The sequence below is a fragment of the Homo sapiens genome, chromosome 10, assembly GCF_000001405.40.
Source record: "Homo sapiens chromosome 10, GRCh38.p14 Primary Assembly".
NCBI classification, from domain to species: Eukaryota; Metazoa; Chordata; class Mammalia; order Primates; family Hominidae; genus Homo; species Homo sapiens.
The window spans coordinates 43,913,146-43,934,131 of NC_000010.11; the positions used below are offsets into that span (position 1 = coordinate 43,913,146).

Here is a 20,986-nt window from a genome sequence, read left to right on the forward strand (position 1 = left end):
TTGCTCACTCTGCCATGTGAACACATAGCACATAGGCAACTGTCTACAAGCCGAGGAGAGAAGTCTTACTGGGAACCAACCCTGCTGGAACCTTGATTTTAGACTTTCAGTCTCCAGAACCATGAGAAAACAAATCACACTTGTTGAAGCAACCCAGTCTGTGGTATTTTGTTATGGCAGCCTGAGTTGCTAAGACACTTGGCAATTGTCATGAGGTTTAAATATGATTCCATAAGCTGTACTCTGTGGGATGACCCTGGCAATCCATAACCCACACACCAATGGAACTGGCACATACTGGGGGTCTCAAATTATTACTGCTGTTATTCTCATTATTATTTTAGGCAATTGCATGAATCTATTTTCTCTCCTATCTTGCTAGCTCTTTGAAGATAGGACCTAGTCTTATCCATTTTTCTATAACCCAGAACTAGTCTAGAGTTTGGCACATAATAGTTGCCTAATGAATATCTGCTACATGAATAAATAAGCTTATATTTTAATATAATATGCTGTTCATTACAGAAAGGTCATCAACGTAATGAAGTAGCTTACAGGTAGTACAAATAATGAGCAATAATTAATTATGTGCTTTGGGCCACTTTTCATGCAGTACTGAATTCTCACAGGAAGTCTCAGACGAAGACACTGCTAACTCCACTTTCAGAGAGAAACACTGAGGCTCAGAGCTAAACTAACTCGCCTCAGAGCCCACATCCTGGACTTGAGCCTCAGGGTGTTGCATGCCAAAGCCTGTCCTCTTCACCCCAGCTTCCTGGGCATTGGAGCGGATCCATAGTGTTAGATATGCAGTGGGAATGGCCCCCATTCCAAGCCACTTCCTGACCTGATGGCAGCACCCTGCTAGTCCTCACATGGAGCCCTGGAGAAGCCGGGTTCCTTAACCCAGATTTGAATCAATAGCCTCACACCTGGTATGCACATCCAGGCCAAGTGTGGCTGAATGGGGAGCATCTGTTCTGGAGACGGCCACCCTCATGGGCTCCTCTGCTTCCTGTCCCTTCGGGCACTGATTTATGGCACACAGCAGGGAAGGGCCTGAGCTTGAGCCCTGACCATCGTTATCATCACCATCTTCATTCCAGTGCAGTGAAGAACATTCTGAAGGTAGAGATGAAGGTCTTCTTTCTGAATGAAGCTCCTTGCATGATTCAGGGATCTTCCTCTTGAAGGCACCAATCATTTTGACTTTAATGCATGCACTCTGACTTACTTGTGGTGATCTCTCCTGGAAATACATGGAAAAATGAAAAATAGGCTAACTGGGGAGATTTCTTAAATACCAGTTTGTATGGCTGTGTTAACCTGAATGATTAAATATAGGATTGTTTTTTAAGTTACACATTGTGGGTTTGTGTTTTCCTCATTAATATCAATTGGTTCATTTATTTCTGCTTGCTCTGAAGCCACAGAGTTCAACAGAACTGCCTGTGTGTTTGCTGCATCTACTAAACTGCCATGATCTTACTGAATATATTTCTTAATATCCTTTTTATGTATGTCATTTTTGTTAAGTTCTTGAACCAGAACTGAAAAAAAGATTAAAACGTTATCTATTTACAAAACTTTTTTTGATGTTTTGGTAACAAAACAATTTTGCACTTAAAGTTCCCACTTCAGATGTTATTCTTTCTATTTTTTTTTATTTTTTATTATACTTTAAGTTCTAGGGCACATGTGCACAGTGTGCAGGATTGTTACATATGTACACATGTGCCATGTTGGTTTGGTGCACCCATTAACTTGTCATTTACATTAGGTATTTCTCCTAAGCTATCCCTCCCCCATACCCCACCCCATGACAGGCCCCGGTGTGTGATGTTCCCCGCCCTGTGTCCAAGTGTTCTCATTGTTCAATTCACACCTATGAGTGAGAACATGCAGTGTTTTGTTTTCTGTTCTTGCAATAGTTTGCTCAGAATGATGGTTTCCAGCTTCATCCATGTCGCTACAAAGGACATGAACTCATCATTTTTTTATGGCTACATAGTATTCCCTGGTGTATGTGTCACATTTTCTTAACCCAGTCTATCACTGATGGACATTTGGGTTGGTTCCAAGTCTTTGCTATTGTGAATAGTGCCACAATAAACATACGTGTGCATGTGTCTTTATAGCAGCATGATTTGTAATCCTTTGGGTATATACCCAGGAATGGGATTGCTGGGTCAAATGATATTTCTAGTGGTCCTTGAGGAATCGCCACACTGTCTTCCACAATGGTTGAACTAGTTTACACTCCCACCAACAGTGTAAAAGTGTTCCTATTTCTCCACATCCTCTTCAGCACCTGTTGTTGCCTGACTTTTTAATGATCGCCATTCTAACTGGTGTGAGATGGTATCTTATCGTGGTTTTGATTTGCATTTCTATGATGACCTGTGATGATGAGCATTTTTTCATGTGTCTGTTGGCTGCATAAATGTCTTCTTTTGAAACGTGTCTGTTCATATCCTTTGCCCACTTTTTCATGGGGTTGTTTGATTTTTTCTTGTAAATTTATATAAGTTCTTTGTAGATTCTGGATATTAGCCCTTTGTCAGATGGGTAGAATGAAAAAATTTTCTCCCATTCTGTAGGTTGCCTGTTCACTCTGATGGTGGTTTCTTTTGCTGTGCAGAAGCTCTTTAGTTTAACTAGATCCCATTTGCCTATTTTGGCTTTTATTGCCATTGCTTTTGGTGTTTTAGTCATGAAGTCCTTGCCCATGCCTATGTCCTGAATGGTATTGCCTAGGTTTTCTTCTAGGGCTTTTATGGTTTTAGGTCTAACATTTAAGTCTTTAATCCATATTGGATTAATTTTTGTATAAGATGTAAGGAAGGGATCCAGTTTCAGCTTTCTAGATATGGCTAGCGAGTTTTCCCAGTGCCATTTATTAAACAGGGAATCCTTTCCCATTTCTTGTTCTTGTCAGGTTTGTTAAAGATCAGATGGCTGTAGATGTGTGGTGTTATTTCTGGGGCCTCTGTTCTGTTCCATTGGTCTGTATCTCTGTTTTGGTACCAGTACCATGCTGTTTTGGTTACTGTAGCCTTGTAGTATAGTTTGAAGTCAGGTAGCGTGATGCCTCCAGCTTTGTTCTTTTTGCTTAGGATTGTCTTGGCAATGCGGGCTCTTTTTTGGTTCCATATGAGCTTTAAAGTAGTTTTTTCCAATTCTGTGAAGAAAGTCATTGGTAGCTTGATGGGGATGGCATTGAATCTATAAATTACCTTGGGCAGTATGGCCATTTTCACAATATTGATTCTTCCTATCTATGAGCATGGAATGTTCTTCCATTTGTTTGTGTCCTCTTTTATTTCACTGAGCAGTGGTTTGTAGTTCTCCTTGAAGAGGTCCCTCACATCCCTTGTAAGTTGGATTCCTAGGTATTCTCTCTGAAGCAATTGAAAATGGGAGTTCACTCATGATTTGGCTCTCTGTTTGTCTGTTGTTGGTGTATAAGAATGCTTGTGATTTTTGCACATTGATTTTTGTATCCTGAGGCTTTGCTGAAGTTACTTATCAGCTTAAGGAGATTTTGGGCTGAGATGATGGGGTTTTCTAAATACACAATTATGTCATCTGCAAACAGGGACAATTTGACTTCCTCTTTTCCTATTTGAATACACTTTCTTTCTCTTGCCTGATTGCCCTGGCCAGAACTTCCAACACTATGTTGAATAGGAGTGGTGAGAGAGGGCATCCCTGTGTTGTGCCAGTTTTCAAAGATAATGCTTCCAGTTTTTGCCCATTCAGTATGATACTGGCTGTGGGTTTGTCATAAATAGCTCTTATTATTTTGAGATACGTTCCATCAATGCTTAGTTTATTGAGAGTTTTCAGCATGAAGGGCTGCATCTATTGAGATAATCATGTGGTTTTTGTCTTTGGTTCTGTTTATATGCTGGATTATGTTTATTGATTTGCATATGTTGAACCAGCCTTGCATCCCAGGGATGAAGCCCACTTGATCATGGTGGATAAGCTTTTTGATGTGCTGCTGGATTCGTTTTGCCAGTATTTCATTGAGGATTTTTGCATCAATGTTCATCAGAGATATTGGTCTAAAATTCTCTTTTTTGGTTGTGTTTCTGCCAGGCTTTGGTATCAGAATGATGCTGGCCTCATAAAATGAGTTAGGGAGGATTCCCTCTTTTTCTATTGATTGGAATAGTTTCAGAAGGAATGGTACCAGCTTCTCCTTGTACCTCTGGTAGAATTTGGCTGTGAATCTGCCTGGTCCTGGACTTTTTTGGTTGGTAGGCTATTAATTATTGCCTCAATTTGAGAGCCTGTTGTTGGCCTATTCAGCAATTCAGCTTCTTCCTGGTTTAGTCTTGGGAGGGTTTATGTGTCCAGGAATTTATCCATTTCTTCTAGTTTTTCTAGTTTATCTGTTTAGAGGTGTTTATAGTATTCTCTGATGGTAGTTTGTATTTCTGTGGGATCGGTGGTGATATCCCCTTTATCATTTTTTATGGCATCTATTTGATGCTTCTCTCTTCTTTATTAGTCTTGCTAATGGTCTATCAGTTTTGTTGATCTTTTAAAAAAACCAGCTCCTGCATTCATTGATTTTTTGAAGGGTTTTTTGTATCTCTGTCTCCTTCAGTTCTGTTCTGATCTTAGTTATTTCTTGCCTTCTGCTAGCTTTTGAATGTGTTTGCTCTTGCTTTTTTAGTTCTTTTAATTGTGATGTTAGGGTGTCAATTTTAGTTCTTTCCTGCTTTCTCTTGTGGGCATTTAGTGCTATAAATTTCCCTCTGCACACTGCTTTAAATGTGTCCCAGAGATTCTGGTATGTTTTGTCTTTGTTCTCGTTGGTTTCAAAGAACATCTTTATTTCTGCCTTCATTTCATTATTTACCAGTAGTCATTCAGGAGCAGGTGGTTCAGTTTCCATGTAGTTGAGCGGTTTTGAGTGAGTTTCTTAATCCTGAGTTGTAATTTGATTGCACTGTGGTCTGAGAGACAGTTTGTTGTGATTTCTGTTCTTTTACATTTGCTGAGGAGTGCTTTACTTCCAACTATATGGTCAATTTTGGAATAAGTGTGATGTGGTGCTGGAAAGAATGTATATTCTGTTGATTTGGGGTGTAGAGTTCTGTAGATGTCTGTTAGGTTTGCTTGGTGCAGAGCTGAGTTCAAGTCCTGGATATCCTTGTTAGCCTTCTGTCTCGATCTCTCTAATACTGACAGTGGGGTGTTAAAGTCTCCCATTATTATTGTTTGGGAGTCTAAGCCTCTTTGTAGGTCTCTAAGGACTTGCTTTATGAATCTGGGTGCTCCTGTATTGGGTGCATATATATTTAGGATAGTTAGCTCTTCTTGTTTAATTGATCCCTTTACCATTATGCAATGGCCTTGTCTCTTTTGATCTTTGTTGGTTTAAAGTCTGTTTTATCAGAGACTAGGATTGCAACTCCTGCCTTTTTTTGTTTTCCATTTGCTTGGTAGATCGTCCTCCATCCCTTTATTTTGAGCCTATGTGTGTCTCTGCATGTGAGATGGGTCTCCTGAATACAGCAGACTGATGGGTCTTGACTCTTTATCCAATTTGCCAGTCTGTGCCTTTTAATTGGAGCATTGAGCCCATTTACATTTAAAGTTAATATTGTTATGTGTGAATTTGATCCTGTCATTATGATTTTAGCTGGTTATTTTGCTCGTTAGTTGATGCAGTTTCTTCCTAGCATTGATGGTCTTTACAATTTGGCATGTTTTTGCAGTGGCTGATACCGGTTTTTCCTTTCCATGTTTAGTGCTTCCTTCAGGAGCTCTTGTAGGGCAGGCCTGGTGGTGACAAAATCTCTCAGCATTTGCTTGTCTGTAAAGGATTTTATTTCTCCTTCACTTATGAAGCTTAGTTTGGCTTGATGTGAAATTCTGGGTTGAAAATTCTTTTCTTTAAGAATGTTGAATATTGGCCCCCACTCTCTTCTGGCTTGTAGGGTTTCTGCCAAGAGATCCACTGTTAGTCTGATGGGCTTCCCTTTGTAGGTAACCCAACCTTTCTCTCTGGCTGCCCTTAACATTTTTTCCTTCATTTCAACCTTGGCGAATCTGACAATTATGTGTCTTGGGGTTGCTCTTCTCGAGGAGTATCTTTGTGGTGTTCTCTGTATTTCCTGAATTTGAATGTTGGCCTGCCTTGCTGGGTTGTGGAGTTCTCCTGGATAATAACCTGAACAGTGTTTTCCAACTTGGTTCCATTCTCCCTGTCACTTTCAGGTACACCAGTCAAATGTAGATTTGATCTTTTCACATAGTCCCGTATTTCTTGGAGGCTTTGTTCATTTCTTTTTACTCTTTTTTCTCTAATCTTGTTTTCTTGCTTCATTTCATGAATTTGATCTTCAGTCACTGATACACTTTCTTTCACTTGATCGAATCAGCTACTGAAGCTTGTGTATGTGTCACATAGTTCTCGTGCCATGGTTTTCAGCTTCATCAGGTCATTTAAGGTCTTCTCTACACTGTTTATTCTAGGTAGCCATTTGTCTAATCTTTTTTCAAGGTTTTTAGCTTCCTTGCAATGGGTTCGAACATCATCCTTTAGGTCAGAAAAGTTTGTTATTACCAAATTTCTGAAGCCTACTTCTGTCAACTTGTCAAAGTCATTCTCCATCCTGCTTTGTTCCATTGCTGGCAAGGAGCTGCAATCCTTTGGAGGAGAAGGGGCACTCTGGTTTTTAGAATTTTCAGCTTTTATGCTCTGGTTTCTCCCCATCTTTGTGGTTTTATCTACCTTTGGTCTTTGATGATGGTGACCTACAGATGGGGTTTTGGTCTGGATGTCGTTTTTGTTGATGTTGATACTACTCCTTTCTGTTTGTTAGTTTTCCTTCTAACAGGTCCCTCAGCTGCAGGTCTGTTGGAGTTTGCTGGACGTCCACTCCAGACCCTGTTTGCCTGGGTATCACCAGTGGAGGCTGCAGAACAGCAAACATTGCAGAACAGCAAAAATTGCTGCCTGATCCTTCCTCTGGGAGCTTTGTCTCAGAGGGGCACCTGGCTGTATGAGGTGTCAGTCAGCCCCTACTGGGAGGTATCTCCAAGTTAGGCTACATGGGGGTCAGGGACTCACTTGAGGAGGCAGTCTGTCCATTCTCAGAGCTCAAACACTGCTGGGAGAACCACTGCTCTCTTTAGAGCTCTCAGGGACATTTAAGTCTGCAGAATTTTCTGCTGCCTTTTGTTCAGCTATGCCCTGCCCCCAGAGGTGGAGTGTACAGAGGCAGGCAGGCCTCCTTGCGCTGCTGTGGGCTCCACCCAGTTTTAGCTTCCTGGCTGCTTTGTTTACCTACTCAAGCCTCAGCAATGGTGGGCGCCCCTCCCCTAGCCAGGCTTGCTGCCTGGAAGTTCGATCTTGGACTAGCAGTGAGCAAGACTCCGTGGGTGTGGGACCCACTGAGCCAGACGTGGGATATAATCTCCTGGTGTGCCGTTTGCTAAGACCATTGGAGAAGCATAACGTTTAGGTGGCAGTATGCCCATTTTCCCGGTACAGTCTGTCAGGGCTTCCCTTGGCTAGGAAACGGAAATCCCCCGACCTCTTGCGCTTCCCAGGTGAAGCAATGCCCTGCCCTGCTTTGGCTCACCCTTCGTGGGCTGCACCCACTTTCTGACCAGTCCCAGTGAGATGAACCAGGTACATCAGTTGGAAATGCAGAAATCACCCATCTTCTGTGTCAGTCATGCTGGGAGCTGCAGACCGGAGCTGTTTTTATTTGGCCATCTTGGAACAGACCCGCTATTTTTTTTTTTTTTTTTTTTGAGACGGAGTCTCGCTGTGTCACCAGGCTGGGGTGCAGTGGTGCAATCTCGGCTCACTACAACCTCTGCCTCCTGGGTCCAAGCGATTCTCTTGCCTCAGCCTGGTGAGTAGCTGGGATTACAGGTGCACGCCACTGCACCTGGTTAATTTTTGTATTTTTAGTAGAGACAGGGTTTCACCATGTTGGTCAGGTTGGTCTTGAACTCCTGACTTCATGATCCACCTGCCTCAGCCTCCCAAAGTGCTGGGATTACAGGCATGATCTTTCTATTTTTATACAAATCTTTTTATCCCTCCCACCCATCTTCAGGGGAACACATAGCCCCAGGTACATTTGGTAAGGCAGTCGGCATGTAACTACTCAATGCTGCTGGTGCAATGTGCAAATTGGCACAGGCAACACACAAACGAATACGCATGTCCCAGCAAAACTTAATTTACACAACAGGCAGTAAGCACATGGGACCTTCAGGCCAGAGTTTGCCAACCCCTGTTCCACAGAGTCAGACATCTCAGTTCAAGCCCTGTCTCCATCACTAACCAGTTCTGTGGGTGTGTGTCAATGGGAGCCTTGGTTTCTGTATCTGTAAAATGGGCATTACAACCCCCTAGTCACCTCGGAAGGAGCTCACTTCCTAATACTAGCACATTGGCAGCACCTGCATTCTGGAGGGGACACATTCAAACTGTAGCCGTTTCTGCAGCTGGGGTTGGTCTGGAGACGGGGGTGGAGAACTGAGCCTGAGTCCCACAGGTGTGTGCACCAGGGAAGGGCCTAGAATGTGGAACAGGATGTTACCCAGGGAGCTGTCTGCCCTTCATATCCCAGAGAGATGGCAGACTCCCCTCACAGCAGTAGTGAGTTAAAAGGCGAACAGAGATCATGTAGATTCGGAAAACACTGGTGAGCAGTTGCATCTCCCCTCCCTCATCATGTTTGCGTCTTCCTCAAACCAGGGATGGACTTCCAGTAGATTAATTGGTGGTCTTGACTCTGAATCTTCTACGGCCTGTGGTTCTGAAGTCAGGTCCACACCTGGTTGCCTCAGCCATGGCCTGGAGTTCTGGACGTTGTCAGAACAAAGGGCATGAGTGTGTCCCCTCTGCCGTAAGGAGCCCAGCCTGGAGACACAAGGCTTCAGTGACTTTGCCCAGGAGGCAAAGGGCAAGGGCAGGGGTGCCCTGGCAAAGGGTGTCTGTGTCAGTGGCTGCCAAAGCCCTGAGGTAGTCCAGGGGCCAGGGAGAGGGTTCCCCTAGTCGGGGTTCTCTGGGGTGCTCACAAATCACCTCACGTGACCCCAGAGAGAAGCAGCATCGGCAGACGGTGGGACTCGTCAAGCGGGATCTTGGTGGCCCTCACCCTTCCTCCCTTCCTCCCCAAACACGGAGGAGTGAAGACCTAGCAAGCAGGGGAGGGGAGGGAGTAGAAGAGTCCATGGGGCACTCGCAGACAGGCCTCAGCCAGGGACGTTCACAGTGGTGGCTGTGAGAGTTGATGGCTACTTCATGCCGGAAGGGGGCTGTGTTTGTGGGAGAAGGGATCAGAGAACTTCCTCATGACCTGAGAGGGCCTGACAGGCACCGAGACTTCCTCCAGGGACCATCAGGAAGTGGCAGGCGGGGAGAATGGCTGGGAGGTGACCCTGGACCTTTGTGAGGTCACTGATCTGAGTGGACCCTCCCCACCCAGCTGGCCATGGTAAGGAGGCAGGGGCCACAAAGACCTGAGGCAGGGGCTCAGGGTTTAGATAGAGGCTGGGGCAGGGTGGGGACTATGACAGCATGAGAGGGGGCTCTGGGCTGAACTGGGTCCCCTGCACCCCACAATTCCTACATGGAAGCCCTAGCCCCCAGCATCTCAGAATGTAGCTGTATTTGGAGATAGGGCCTTAGATTAGATAATTAAGTTAAAAGGAGGCCACTAGGGTGGGCCCTAATCCAATATACAGTGTCCACATAAGAAGAGGAGATGAGGACCGAGATGCACACTGGGGTGAGACCATGTGAAGACGCAGGGAGAATGCAGACATCTATAAGCCCAGGAGAGAGGCTCAGGAGAAACCAGCCCTGCCACACCTCCATCTCAGACTTCTGGCCTCCAGCCTGAGGAAACTGCCATTTCTGCAGTTTAAGCCTCCCAGTCTGTGACACTCATCATGGCAACCTGAGCACATGAATTCAGGAGGGCTGGAAAATCACTTCCCTCACACCCTTCCCCAGCCCTACTGAACTGCTGCTTCCTCCTCCCCTGTCCACCCGGATGGGGACTCAGTTGCCAGTACCTGTACCTCTTTGTTGAACCCTCCTTCCCCATCTCATTTCACCAACTACTATGAATTCCTGGCGATCCTGCATCTTAAATATCACTGAGAATAGAATGACCCCATAATTTACTATCAAATAGGGACACTTTAGAAGTGAAAGTAATTGTGAATTATGTAAGACAACAAGCAGACAGCAGGCCCGACCTAGCAATGGTGGGGCAAAAGTGGCCCTCTCTTCTTTCTTACCTCCGTGGCTTATTTCAGGTCCTCATCCTTCACCCCCTGAATGACTGACAGGCCTTTCACTTCTCTCTCTGCCTTTGCACTCAGCAACATCCTCCAGTAGATAATTGCTAAAATGCAAATCAAATCATGTTACTGCTTAGCCAATAAAATAACCACCACAAAATCAAGAAGTGGAAGACACACTAAAACTTAATGTGAGAGATTCTCTGTTGCCTTTCAGCATGAGGAGAGCCAAGTCCTTTACCAATGCACCCAGTTCCTCCCCAGCCCCTCCCTTCCAACCCTAACCTCCCGTCCTAAGGGACTGAGCTCAATTTCTCCATGATTCAAGGCTGCATCTTGTTTCTCTGAACATCAGTGATATTTGCTTAGGATACTGTCTCATTCCTTACCTGCCACCTTATACTCAAGATTCAGGTCAGTCATCCACTGGGGAATATGTGTGAAAGATTACTAGCCAGAAGGTTATTTGCTGGTGCAAGCAGACAACAGAGGCCTGTTAGTGGAATGAGGACTGTGACCATGAAGATAAGTCAGGTCCAAGTGCTACATGAGCAAGGAGGAGAGGCCTCACCCAAACTGGAGGGTCAGAAGACCTTCTAGAAGGCTGGTTTGGGAGATCTGTTCCCTTGAAGGAGAAAGGAAGAATCAGGTTCACCAGATGGGGAAAATATTCCAACCAATGGGGCAGGATGTTCCCAGAGAGGGGAGTGGGCTGGACCTTTACGAGAACCTAAAGGAGGTTTGATGTGGATACATCACAACATTCCTAGTCCCCAAGGAGTCCCCTGCATCCCCCTCCCAGGCGCTAATCCCCCATGGGGAACCATTGACTCCTGGCAGCATCCATCTGGCTTGTGAACTTTTGGACTTGCATAAATGAAATTGCATAGTCTTTAGTCTTTTTACTTGTCCCCTGTCTCCATTAGACACTGAACTTCTTGAGGGCAGAGATTGCGTCTTTTGTCTCCTTGTCCTCAGTAGAAGTTCAATAAATGATGTTGGCGAATGAATGAATGAATGCATGGTCACGACTTCACAGGGGCCTGGAAGCCTGGGGATGGCCACGACTTCACAGGGGCTGCTCTGTTCCCACACACACATTGAGGTGACCAGGTGAGGAGTGCATTGACCGTGGGTCTTTGAAGGGACCCTTGACTCAGGGAAAACCTCGGGACTGTGTCCAGATGACTTTTGTTTTGGTTTGAGTGCACAGTAAGTTAGTCATGTGATGTTCACGATGGGCTCAGCCTTCCCATGTGTGAAATGGAATATGAATTTGTCTGTGTCAGATCAGGGAGGGTACACTGTAGCTCTCCAGAAAAGACAAATTTTAAACAGCAAGTACAAAGACTTTTTACAGATCCTGCAAAGTGATTCTTGACCAGGTCCTGTGTGTCATGGACTGTGGTGAGGCATTCTTCTGCTCAGAGAGCAGAGCAGGTGAAACACAGCCTATGGCCATTTTCATTGGTACAAATAAACGAAGAAGCCTTTTTCCACCCAGAGGAGGATTTTTGTCTGTATCCTTTTGGTTTGGTCCTTAGGGAGAAATACTGTAGCCACCATGAATCCCTCCTGCTGCTCCCGCTGAAGCTCCTCCAGCCTCCAGCTCTGTTGCTTTCATGGTCCTTGGTACTTGGGGTTTGCTTTTCAGGTGTACTCACCTTAGGAATTAAATTACGAGTGATCTGAGGCTGGTCCATGTCAGATTCTTCATTTCCAAATGTCAATCTGTCCCGCTTCTCTCCCATTGGGCTTTCTCTCTGTTGAGTACTCAGGGAATACTGGAATAAAATGTTTCCATGGGGAGAATAATTGGGATCAGAAGGGCCCAGAACAGAGAATGGAGCCCGAGCCCTGGTGGGCAGAGGGCTGTGGAACCATAACAGGATTTGGGGACATCACACTTTAGCTCTCTTTGTAACTGTCCCTCAAGCTGGATCTGCTGATGGGCAGCTTTTGGGAATGCATGTCTGCTGTCACTGAGATGGTGGTCTCTGCATACTAAGGCAGGCTGTGAGGGGAGATGAGCTTTGACAAAGGTAGTCTTAGCCAGCTTGGGCTGCAGTGACCACAGACTGGGCGGCTTAAACAACAGACACTTCTCTGGAGGCTAGAAGTCCAGGATCAAGGCACTGGCAGATCTGGTGTCTGGTGGGGGCTCTCTTTCTGGTTTGCAGATGGCTGTCTTCTAGCTGTGACCTCATGTGGTGGGGAAAGACAGACAGAGAGAGAGAGAGAGAGAGAGAGAGAGAGAGAGAGAGAAATAGAGACAGAGATCCACTCTCATGATCTCCTTACCTCCCAAAGGCCCCACTGCCCAGCACCATCACACTGGGGGTTAAGATTTTGACATAAGACTTTGGTGTGTTTAAGGGGGCACAAGAGTTCAGTGCATGATGAGGCTTTCAGCACCCAGGCTGGCTTCACATTGATACAGCGGGTCCTTCTGCTGCTCCGAGGATTCAGCACTGGCAAGCACGGTTTTCACAGATGAAAAACAGAATATGGACCTATGCTTTCCACCCCTGCAGCTGAGGCACGCCGTGGGCTTGCTGGTTTTCCTCTTTATCTTCTTCTTCATCCTAGGTGGCCATTTGCCTCAGGGAGGGCTTCTGATCATACCAAGGCCCCGAGAAACTGTACTTTCACCTATACCAGAAAATTGGAGGGGGCGTGGGTACTGGATACTGACTCCAGTTGTTCCAGATGCTTTCTTTGCAATTTGTATAATGATATTGGGTTCTGGCCAAACCGAACCAACTTTATTGTCAATGACCAGAATGAATCTGTCATGGGAATGCTGTCCTGGCTTAGGCCAGAGCACTAGGGAATACTTCCCATTCCAAATCAAACTCCTTCTGCCGACTCTTTTGCTGCCTTTCTGAAAGGAGCAGAAACCTGACCTTCTCAAACAGATATTGATGGACCTGACCATCAGAAATTTCAGTGCTGAGTCCATGAAAAACATATGTCTATATATATTTGCTGTTGTTTGTGCCATTCTTAGGGTAGTCAAAGACAACCAAAAAATAAAAGGCGTGCATTTGACCTCTGATGCACAGAACAAACAGACAGCATGGGTGGCCCTGCACTCCCTTCTCTTCTTACCCCCACCAGAATGTGTGTGTGTAGCGGGGAGGCAGTAGCGTCAGCTGCTGCGGAGAGGGCACGGGACCTGCTAGGGGGAATGAACTCTTCCCTCCACCAGGGCACCAAGACCACAGGGGTATTTTGGACCAGATGAAGCCTGAAAATAATCTAATTTTGTAACAGATGAGGTATCCACTATGTTCTGCCTGTCTGCAGTGTTACAATGCAATTTCTCAAGCCATAAACTGGAGAAAGATCAAAAGAGCCTCTTGTGGACACCCTTTGGGGAGGTCCCTCATGGCCAAGTGACTGAAATGGGAGGTTGGAGTAGACCATGGCCAGGACTGAAGAAAGAAGGCAGGAGGCACGGACCTTTATGACACCTTCCCTGTCCCTGCCCTGTGGAGGTGTGCTGTGGTGCTGTCTAGAGGAATGGCTCTCCTGCACTGAAGACGGGGCCAGACCCCTTGCTCCATGTTTCTGATCCGTGTTCTGGCCCCCTGCAAGCTCCTGAATGTCCACCCAGCACTCTACCACCAGTGAGAACCTGCGTGCTCATCAGACAGATGCCGCTCCGTCTGCAGGACACTTCCTGTGTCTCAGTCCATTGCATGTCCCGTGGGACTCACTGCAGGGGCATCTCCCAGGTCTTTCACCTGCCCAGCCCCTGCCCCTGAGTCTTCCCTTGGCTCTGCCATGCCCCTGTATCAGACCACCCTCCTCCTGAGCTGGGTTTCTCTCCCACTGGGCTGGGAGCAGCTCAGGTGAGGCTGTGTCCTCCCAGGCTGTCTCCCCAGCAGCACAGCCAGACAGTCCCCATTCCCAGATGTAGGTGGGGCAAAAACAGGATTGTTTTCTTAGAGCTTCTTTTTTAACTTGATCCTTATTTCCTTCTCCAACTCAAGTGTAGTTGTCAGGGGAGCTACTGCAGTGTGTAAAATAGAGAGGAGCACTGCAAATGTGGAAACAAACTCCTTGCCCTTTGGCAACTCCATCCTTTTCCTTCCGTCTTTCTTTTTCTCCTGCCAAGCTATTGTGGAGCCTCACGATGCCACAGACCCTGATTTCCAGGATATGGCTGCTCTGGAAAATGGCTTCACCTTTTCTACTTAACATGCCCAAACCTCAGTTTCCCCATCTGTAACATGGTGGTGATGGTAGTTATCTAACAGAGTTCTTGTGAGAATTAAGTGAGGTAGCAGCAGTAATGAGTCCGCTCTGAGCCGGCTCAAGGGAACACACGCACTGTGCCGGGTGCTCTCCTCAAGGATGCATGAACTCCACCTAGAAACCTCTCCCCTTTCTGTAGCTGATAGCATCCATTTTCAGTATCAATTTTGGGAGAGGAAAATACTTTCCCTCTACCCTCTGAGGTTTGGTAACTCGGTCTATGAAATAAACAAACAGCATGGAGATTAACAGGAGAAGACAGCTACACTTATTGTGTGCACAGAGGTATCACAGGGAGAAAAATGTGGGTACCCGAAAGAGTGGTGAGATTTGGGAGCTTACACATCATCTCCACAGGGGAAAGGGAAGAAGAACTGCAGGCCACTTAGGGGAGATAATGATTTTTAGGAAAGATGAGGAATGCTTTGAAGAGCAGATGGGCGATATGAGGCGAAGCTTGTCTAGGTGTGGTGCTGGCTTCTGGTCTCCGCTCTTGTGACAGGGGTCAGTCTTCCTTGGCTGATAAAAATCCTGAGGAGGGGACTCGTGACTTGAATTGCTTTTGCAAGATCTTTCTTTAGGCAGTTAAGAAGAGTTCAGAGAGAGTTTCTTCCTGTATTTGCTGTTTTTCAAGCGTCTTTAACTCAAAATAATCAGTATATCAAAGTGGCATATTTTGGGGTGGCACATTCCAAACTCCTTCACATGCTTTTATCTCAGCTCTGCCCATGGCTGTATCACCCACAAAGTCACGTGGCCTCTCTAAATCTCATCATTCTTGCTCATGAAGTGGGAATAATAACATTACCCACCTCACAAGGTTATTGCAATGGCTTCCACAGTGTCTGGTCTGGATGACAGTTCCACAGATATGCCAGGGGTGGGAATGTGTGATACCGACGCTCCCACAGGCCTGTCCTGGAGTCCCAGCCTGGGAGGCGCTTGGATCTGAAGCAGAATGAATGGCATCTTTGCCCACTGTTTGCTGGACCATCCTCCAGACGGACCCTCATATGCTATTTTTGGATATAACTTGTCATCACATTGGCCACACTTTCCTTCAACATGAGGATGCCAGGCTCTGAAGTGAAGCTGTGCCCATGACTCCTGGGCCCCTGCCCTCCTCTGAGCTCATTGGTAGAGTTAAGGCTCATTTCCTTCATAGATCTTTGTGCACTGATAACACTGGACTGACGAGACTATGAGAATAGAGGAATGAGGTCTTGCGTTTCTTTGGCATCTTTCCTCAGAGGCTAGAGCACTGTGGACATTCACCATCCCCTTCAGGGCTCCATTGTGAGCTTCAGGGATCGGGTGAAGGAGCTTACTCTTTCCTGCTTTCCAGTCCCATTGCCAGCAGGTGATTTTGAATCAAATAGTGGGACAGCAAACAGAAAAATGATTCTAAAAGAAAACCATGTCAGAGGGCTCTAGATACTCCTAAACATATAGTTTAAAATATAAGAAGAGTAAAATGAGACCACAGCCTGTGTAGCGGAAAGCCAGGGTGGACAGACTCTCCAGAATTGTTCTGCAGTGCCCCGGGGGCTCTGGGCTCCGTGCTCCTTGGTCCTGTCCCACAGGGACATGTCATGGCATCCAGCTGAGGTTCGTAGGCATAGAGGCAGCACCAGTGTCACTGGAGCCACAATCCTGGAGTGCACATCACAGACCCAGGGCTGGCTTCATGAGTCTGCGCTTAGAAAAACCCTGGGCTTGGCTTAGCACTCTGCTGTCACAGTCTTGAAATTCTTCAAAATTTTTGAACAACGGGCCCTACATTTTAATTTTTTACTGGGTCCTACACAGTATGTAGCCAGTCCTGCTCATTTTCAGCCCAGGCCTATCAGAGTCTCCAGAGGAGGCCCCCGGTGTGCATCCATGGAAAGGAGCCAGGCAGATGACCCAGCTGCTGGCCAGTCTTGGTAAAGGAACCCCTGGCACAGACTCAGGGTGGAGACTCCTTTCAGCCACCAAGTCTTACTGAGGGATCCTGGGGCTTTCCTGCGGGCACTTGCTGCTCTGTGAGAACTCAGGGTAAGCAAGAAAGCAGATGCTAAGACACCCCCGTCTCTTCTGAGAGTCCACGTTGTAGCCTTGAGTCAGCAGGCCACTCTGTGACTTGGTTGGCCTTAGTTTCCAAACATTCTGCAGCTCTTTATAATTTCCTGATGATTTTGAAAAATGCAACCTTCTAGTGATTCTGACAATGTGTAAAGCATGGCACCTTTGATAGAGATATTTGGACATGGAAAGAGCCCATGGTCTCTTCCTTTAGAGACTGTGGAGCCCGGTGGGGAGAGTGTGGAGCCATGAGGGGATGGTGAGTGTCCACCGGGCTCTAGCCTCTGAGGGAAGATGCAGAAGAAATGCAAGACCTCATTCCTCTATTCTCATAGTCTTGTGAGTCTAGCGTTATCGATGCACAGAGACCTCTGAAGTGAGCTCAGAGGAGGGCAGGGGCCGAGGAATCATTGGCACAGTTTTGCTTCAGAGTCCAGCATCCTCATGTTCTCTGACATGACTGTGTGTCCAATAAGGTCAAGGCAGGTGGTGCACCTGGGAGGGGTAAGCACAGGGTTACCTAGGGGGAGATGGGTGGTGCTTCAGCTGGCTGGGTGCTTGGCAGGGGAGGGTTAAAGTGAGTATCAGAGATGGGTAGAATTTAGATGCAGGAGTACGGGCCATAGCTGAGGAAGTGGGATTTGCTGAGGCCTGGAGGAGGTGCTTCTGAGCAAGTCCCATGTATAGGGTTTGCAGGAAAGTTGGGGGGAAGGGGCGGAGAAAGGTCCAGAGACTGCATCCTGGGGAGGGGCTGGCTCTAGACTAAGAAGGGGTCTGAGGGGAAGCTACTGAAAGACAGAGAAGTGGCACGATTGGATGCATGCCATGGCTGCAGAGTGGAGAGTGGACTCCATGTTGGGAGGGAATGAGGAGATGTGAGGAGGCTGGGGGAAGTAGATACCGGGGTTTCAGAAGATCAGTGTTTGCAATTTATCTGTGAGGTGGTTTGATCCTGGGCAGTGGCAGGAGAGTGACAACTGACACAGAGTTCCACATGTTTGGAACCAGGCTTTAGAGGCCGAGGTTAGGGAAGGGTGACAGAGCAGGGGAGGAAGAGTGGTGGCCAGTTTCCTGCTTGGGGCTGTGTGGAGGACCTGGCCATCTGAGGTCAGCATCCTTCCAGGAGAGCAGGCTTTCAGGTAGGGGAAAAAGCATGAGTCCTATGTTAAAGAGGCTGAGTCTGCCATCCCTGTGAGACATCCCTGAGTGTCCCACAGGCGATGCGGTAGCTCAGAGAGGGGGTCTGCATTGTGGAAGCAGTCAGCCTGCAGGTATGCATTGCACCTGGGCTGCTGGTGCATCTGCCCAGGGAGAGCAGAGGGGTGGGAGAGGGAGGCCAGGCCAGCTCCCAAAGGAGCACCACTCTGCAGATGGGCCACGAAGGAAAGTCCAGGAGTTTTCGGCACTGCCTAAGCTTCCACAAAAGCTTCCAGTTCTCTCTTTTTAGGAATGTTTGTGGATGTCTTTCTGTGCTCTTGTCTCCTCTTGGCTGGGCCTACCTATCTCAAAAGTCTAAACTGATCCCAGTGCCTTCTGGAAAGGGGGACACTGGACTCAATGGTCCTGGACACAGTCTTCTTAGCACACGAATTTTCCCAAATGTGAAGTAATTTGAGCAAAGACAAATAGTCAGGATCACTGCACTCACAGTTAGAAGCACGCCTCACACATAGTAGTCACCCAATAAATATTTGTTGAGGGAATGAATATACACTTAGCAATTTTAGACATTTCCAGGCAAAACGGACTCATCCTTGAATACAATCTGGGCAATCAGTTCCTTCCTCAGGGGCTGAGAATAGCTGTTGTGGCCCCAGTCATCAGAATTTCCTGTATGGGGGATATGTTTCTCAGAGGGGCTCAGTTTTCCCCTGGATAATCACTAGGGCCCTAGGGACAGACATGGCTGCCTTGAATGGCAGCACAGGAGGGAGAACAAGCAACACTCACCCTTCTGTGTGGCCAATAGGGTGCCTGGAATGCACTCCAGCTCCAGTATAGAGAAGGAAGCCAGGGAACTGACCTGACCCAGACAGATGTATCTGAAGCAAGGGTGTTTTTATTTTTTTCTAATCCTTTTTATTGTGGTAAAATACACGTAAAATTTGCAGTTTAGTGGCACCAAGTACATTTGCATTTTTCTGTAGCCATCACCACCATCCATCCCCAGAACGCTTTTCATATGCAAAAATGAAACTGTACACATCAAACAACTCTCCACTTCTCCCTTTTCCCCTGAGTTCCTGGTACACACCACCCTACTTATGTCTCTCTGATCTTGACGACTATAGGTACCTCATATAAGAGGAATCACATACTATCTATCTTTTTGTGATGATGAGCTTATTTTACTGAGCATAAAGTCCTTAAGGTTCATCCATGTTGTATCATCTGTCAGAATTTCCTTCCTTTTTAAGGCTGAGTAATATTCCATTGTGTGTATAGATAGCAGTTTCCTTATCCATTCATCCATTGATAGACATCTGGCTGGCTTCCTCATTTTAGCAATTGTGAATAATGCTGCTATGAACATGGTGTGCAAATATCTCTTGGAGACCCTGCTTTCAATTCTTTTAAATATACACTCAGAAGTGGGATTTCTAGATCATAAGATAATTGTATTTTTAAATTTTTTTAGAAACTGACATATTATTTTACACAGTAGCTGCATCATTTTACATTCCCATCAACAGTGCACATGGGTTCCAATTTATCCACACCCTTGCTAAGGGTTACTTTTCATTAAAAAATATATATGTATATAAAATAGTAGCCCTCTTAATGGTGTGAGGTGGTATCTTGTTTTGATTTGCATTTGATGATTAGTAACGTTGAGCATCTTTTCATGTGCTTATTAGCTATCTGTGCATTTTCTTTGGAGAAATATTTTCTGAAGTCCTTTGCCCATTTTTGAATTGAGTTGTTAGTTTTTTGTTGTTGAGTTTTAGAATTTCTATATACATTCTGGATATTAATCTCTTATGAAATAAGTGATTTGCAAATATATTCTCCCATTCTGTGAGTTGTTTTTACTCTGCCAATAGTGTCTTCTGATGCACAAAAATTTTAAATGTTCATGAAGTTCAATTTATCCATTTTTTCTTTTGTTGCCTATTCTTAATCAAATCAATAACTACATTAAATGTAAATGAGTTACATACCTCAATATAAAAGAAGACATTATCAGATGCAACCCATTTATAATGTAAATTTAAAAGAAGTAAGGCCACGTGTGGTGGCTAAAGCCTGGAATCCCAGCTACTTCAGTGGCCAAGACATGAGAATTGGTTGTGCCACTGTCCTGTAGCCAGGGTGACAGAGTGAGACCCTGTCTCAAAAAAAAAAAAAAAAAAAAAGTAAGACTGAGCATATGCGGCCTAAGTAAAACTCATTTTAAATACAAAGATATAAATAAATGAAAAGTATAAGAATTAAAAAAAACTATTCTAACTCTAATCAAAAGAAACCTGGAGTGGCTATTTTAAATACAAGGCAAAGTAGATTTCAGAGCAACAATTTCTACCAGGAATGAAGAAGGTCATTTGGAGGTCATTTCAAAATAACAAAGGCATTAATTTATCAACATGACGTAACAATTCTAAATTTTATGCATGTAATAAGAACTTCACAATAAATGAAGCAAAACCTGGGAGAACTTGAAGGAGAAATAGACAGATCCATAGGTATAATCAGAGATTTAACTAGCCCTTTCTCCATAACTTATATGCTATATAACAGAAAATCAATAATAATGTAGAAACTTTGAACAACAGTCAGCCAGCTAGAATGAATTGACACCTCTGACAACAGCAGAATACATATTCTTTTCAAGCGCACTCAAGACATTTACCATATTATACCATATTCTTGCCATGAATTGGAGGCCTTATTGATACAGAATGTTTGGGCTCCTGGCTAAACCCCACCCTTAAGCCTGGAACTGTAGCCCTAAGTGAAAACAGCTGACCTTGTTTTTAATGCCCAAATGTTGCCTTTTTGGTCTATCACTCCCCTATTCTGTATTGCTCTGCCACAAAAAGACATCAGCTGGCAGAGCAATACAAGCTGCTGAGTGGCAAGCACAGAAGCAGCAAGGGAGCTTCTGAGACTAAGGATAGACACGGCTAACGTCAGATGGTGTGGCTTCAGGGAAAGATCACCTTCTTTCCGCACCATCCCCTTTCCAATTCCCCATCCCACAAGGAGCCACCTTTATCACCTAATAAAATCCTCTGCATACACTACCCTTCAGTCTGTTTGTGTGACCTGATTCTTCCTGGATGCCAGGCAAGAACCTGGGTGCTCAGAGGGCAGGGACTTGGACACTGCTGCAGGGCCCACACAACCTGCTCCTGACAGAGAG

General features: G+C 45.7%; 1 long non-coding RNA gene across 3 annotated transcripts in view; it reads left to right on the forward strand.

The window, feature by feature from the left end:
- The window catches only part of LINC00841 (long intergenic non-protein coding RNA 841), a 71,970-nt gene that overhangs the window by 3,850 nt on the left and 47,134 nt on the right, over positions 1 to 20,986 (forward strand). Inside the window, exon 2 of one of the 3 annotated variants that reach the window (NR_136148.1) lies at positions 614 to 1,361. The exons of the other annotated variants lie outside the window; for them this stretch is intronic. This is a non-coding gene — a long non-coding RNA (long intergenic non-protein coding RNA 841). Of the gene's footprint in view, positions 1 to 613; positions 1,362 to 20,986 lie in introns of those variants that run through there. 3 annotated transcript variants of the gene reach the window in all.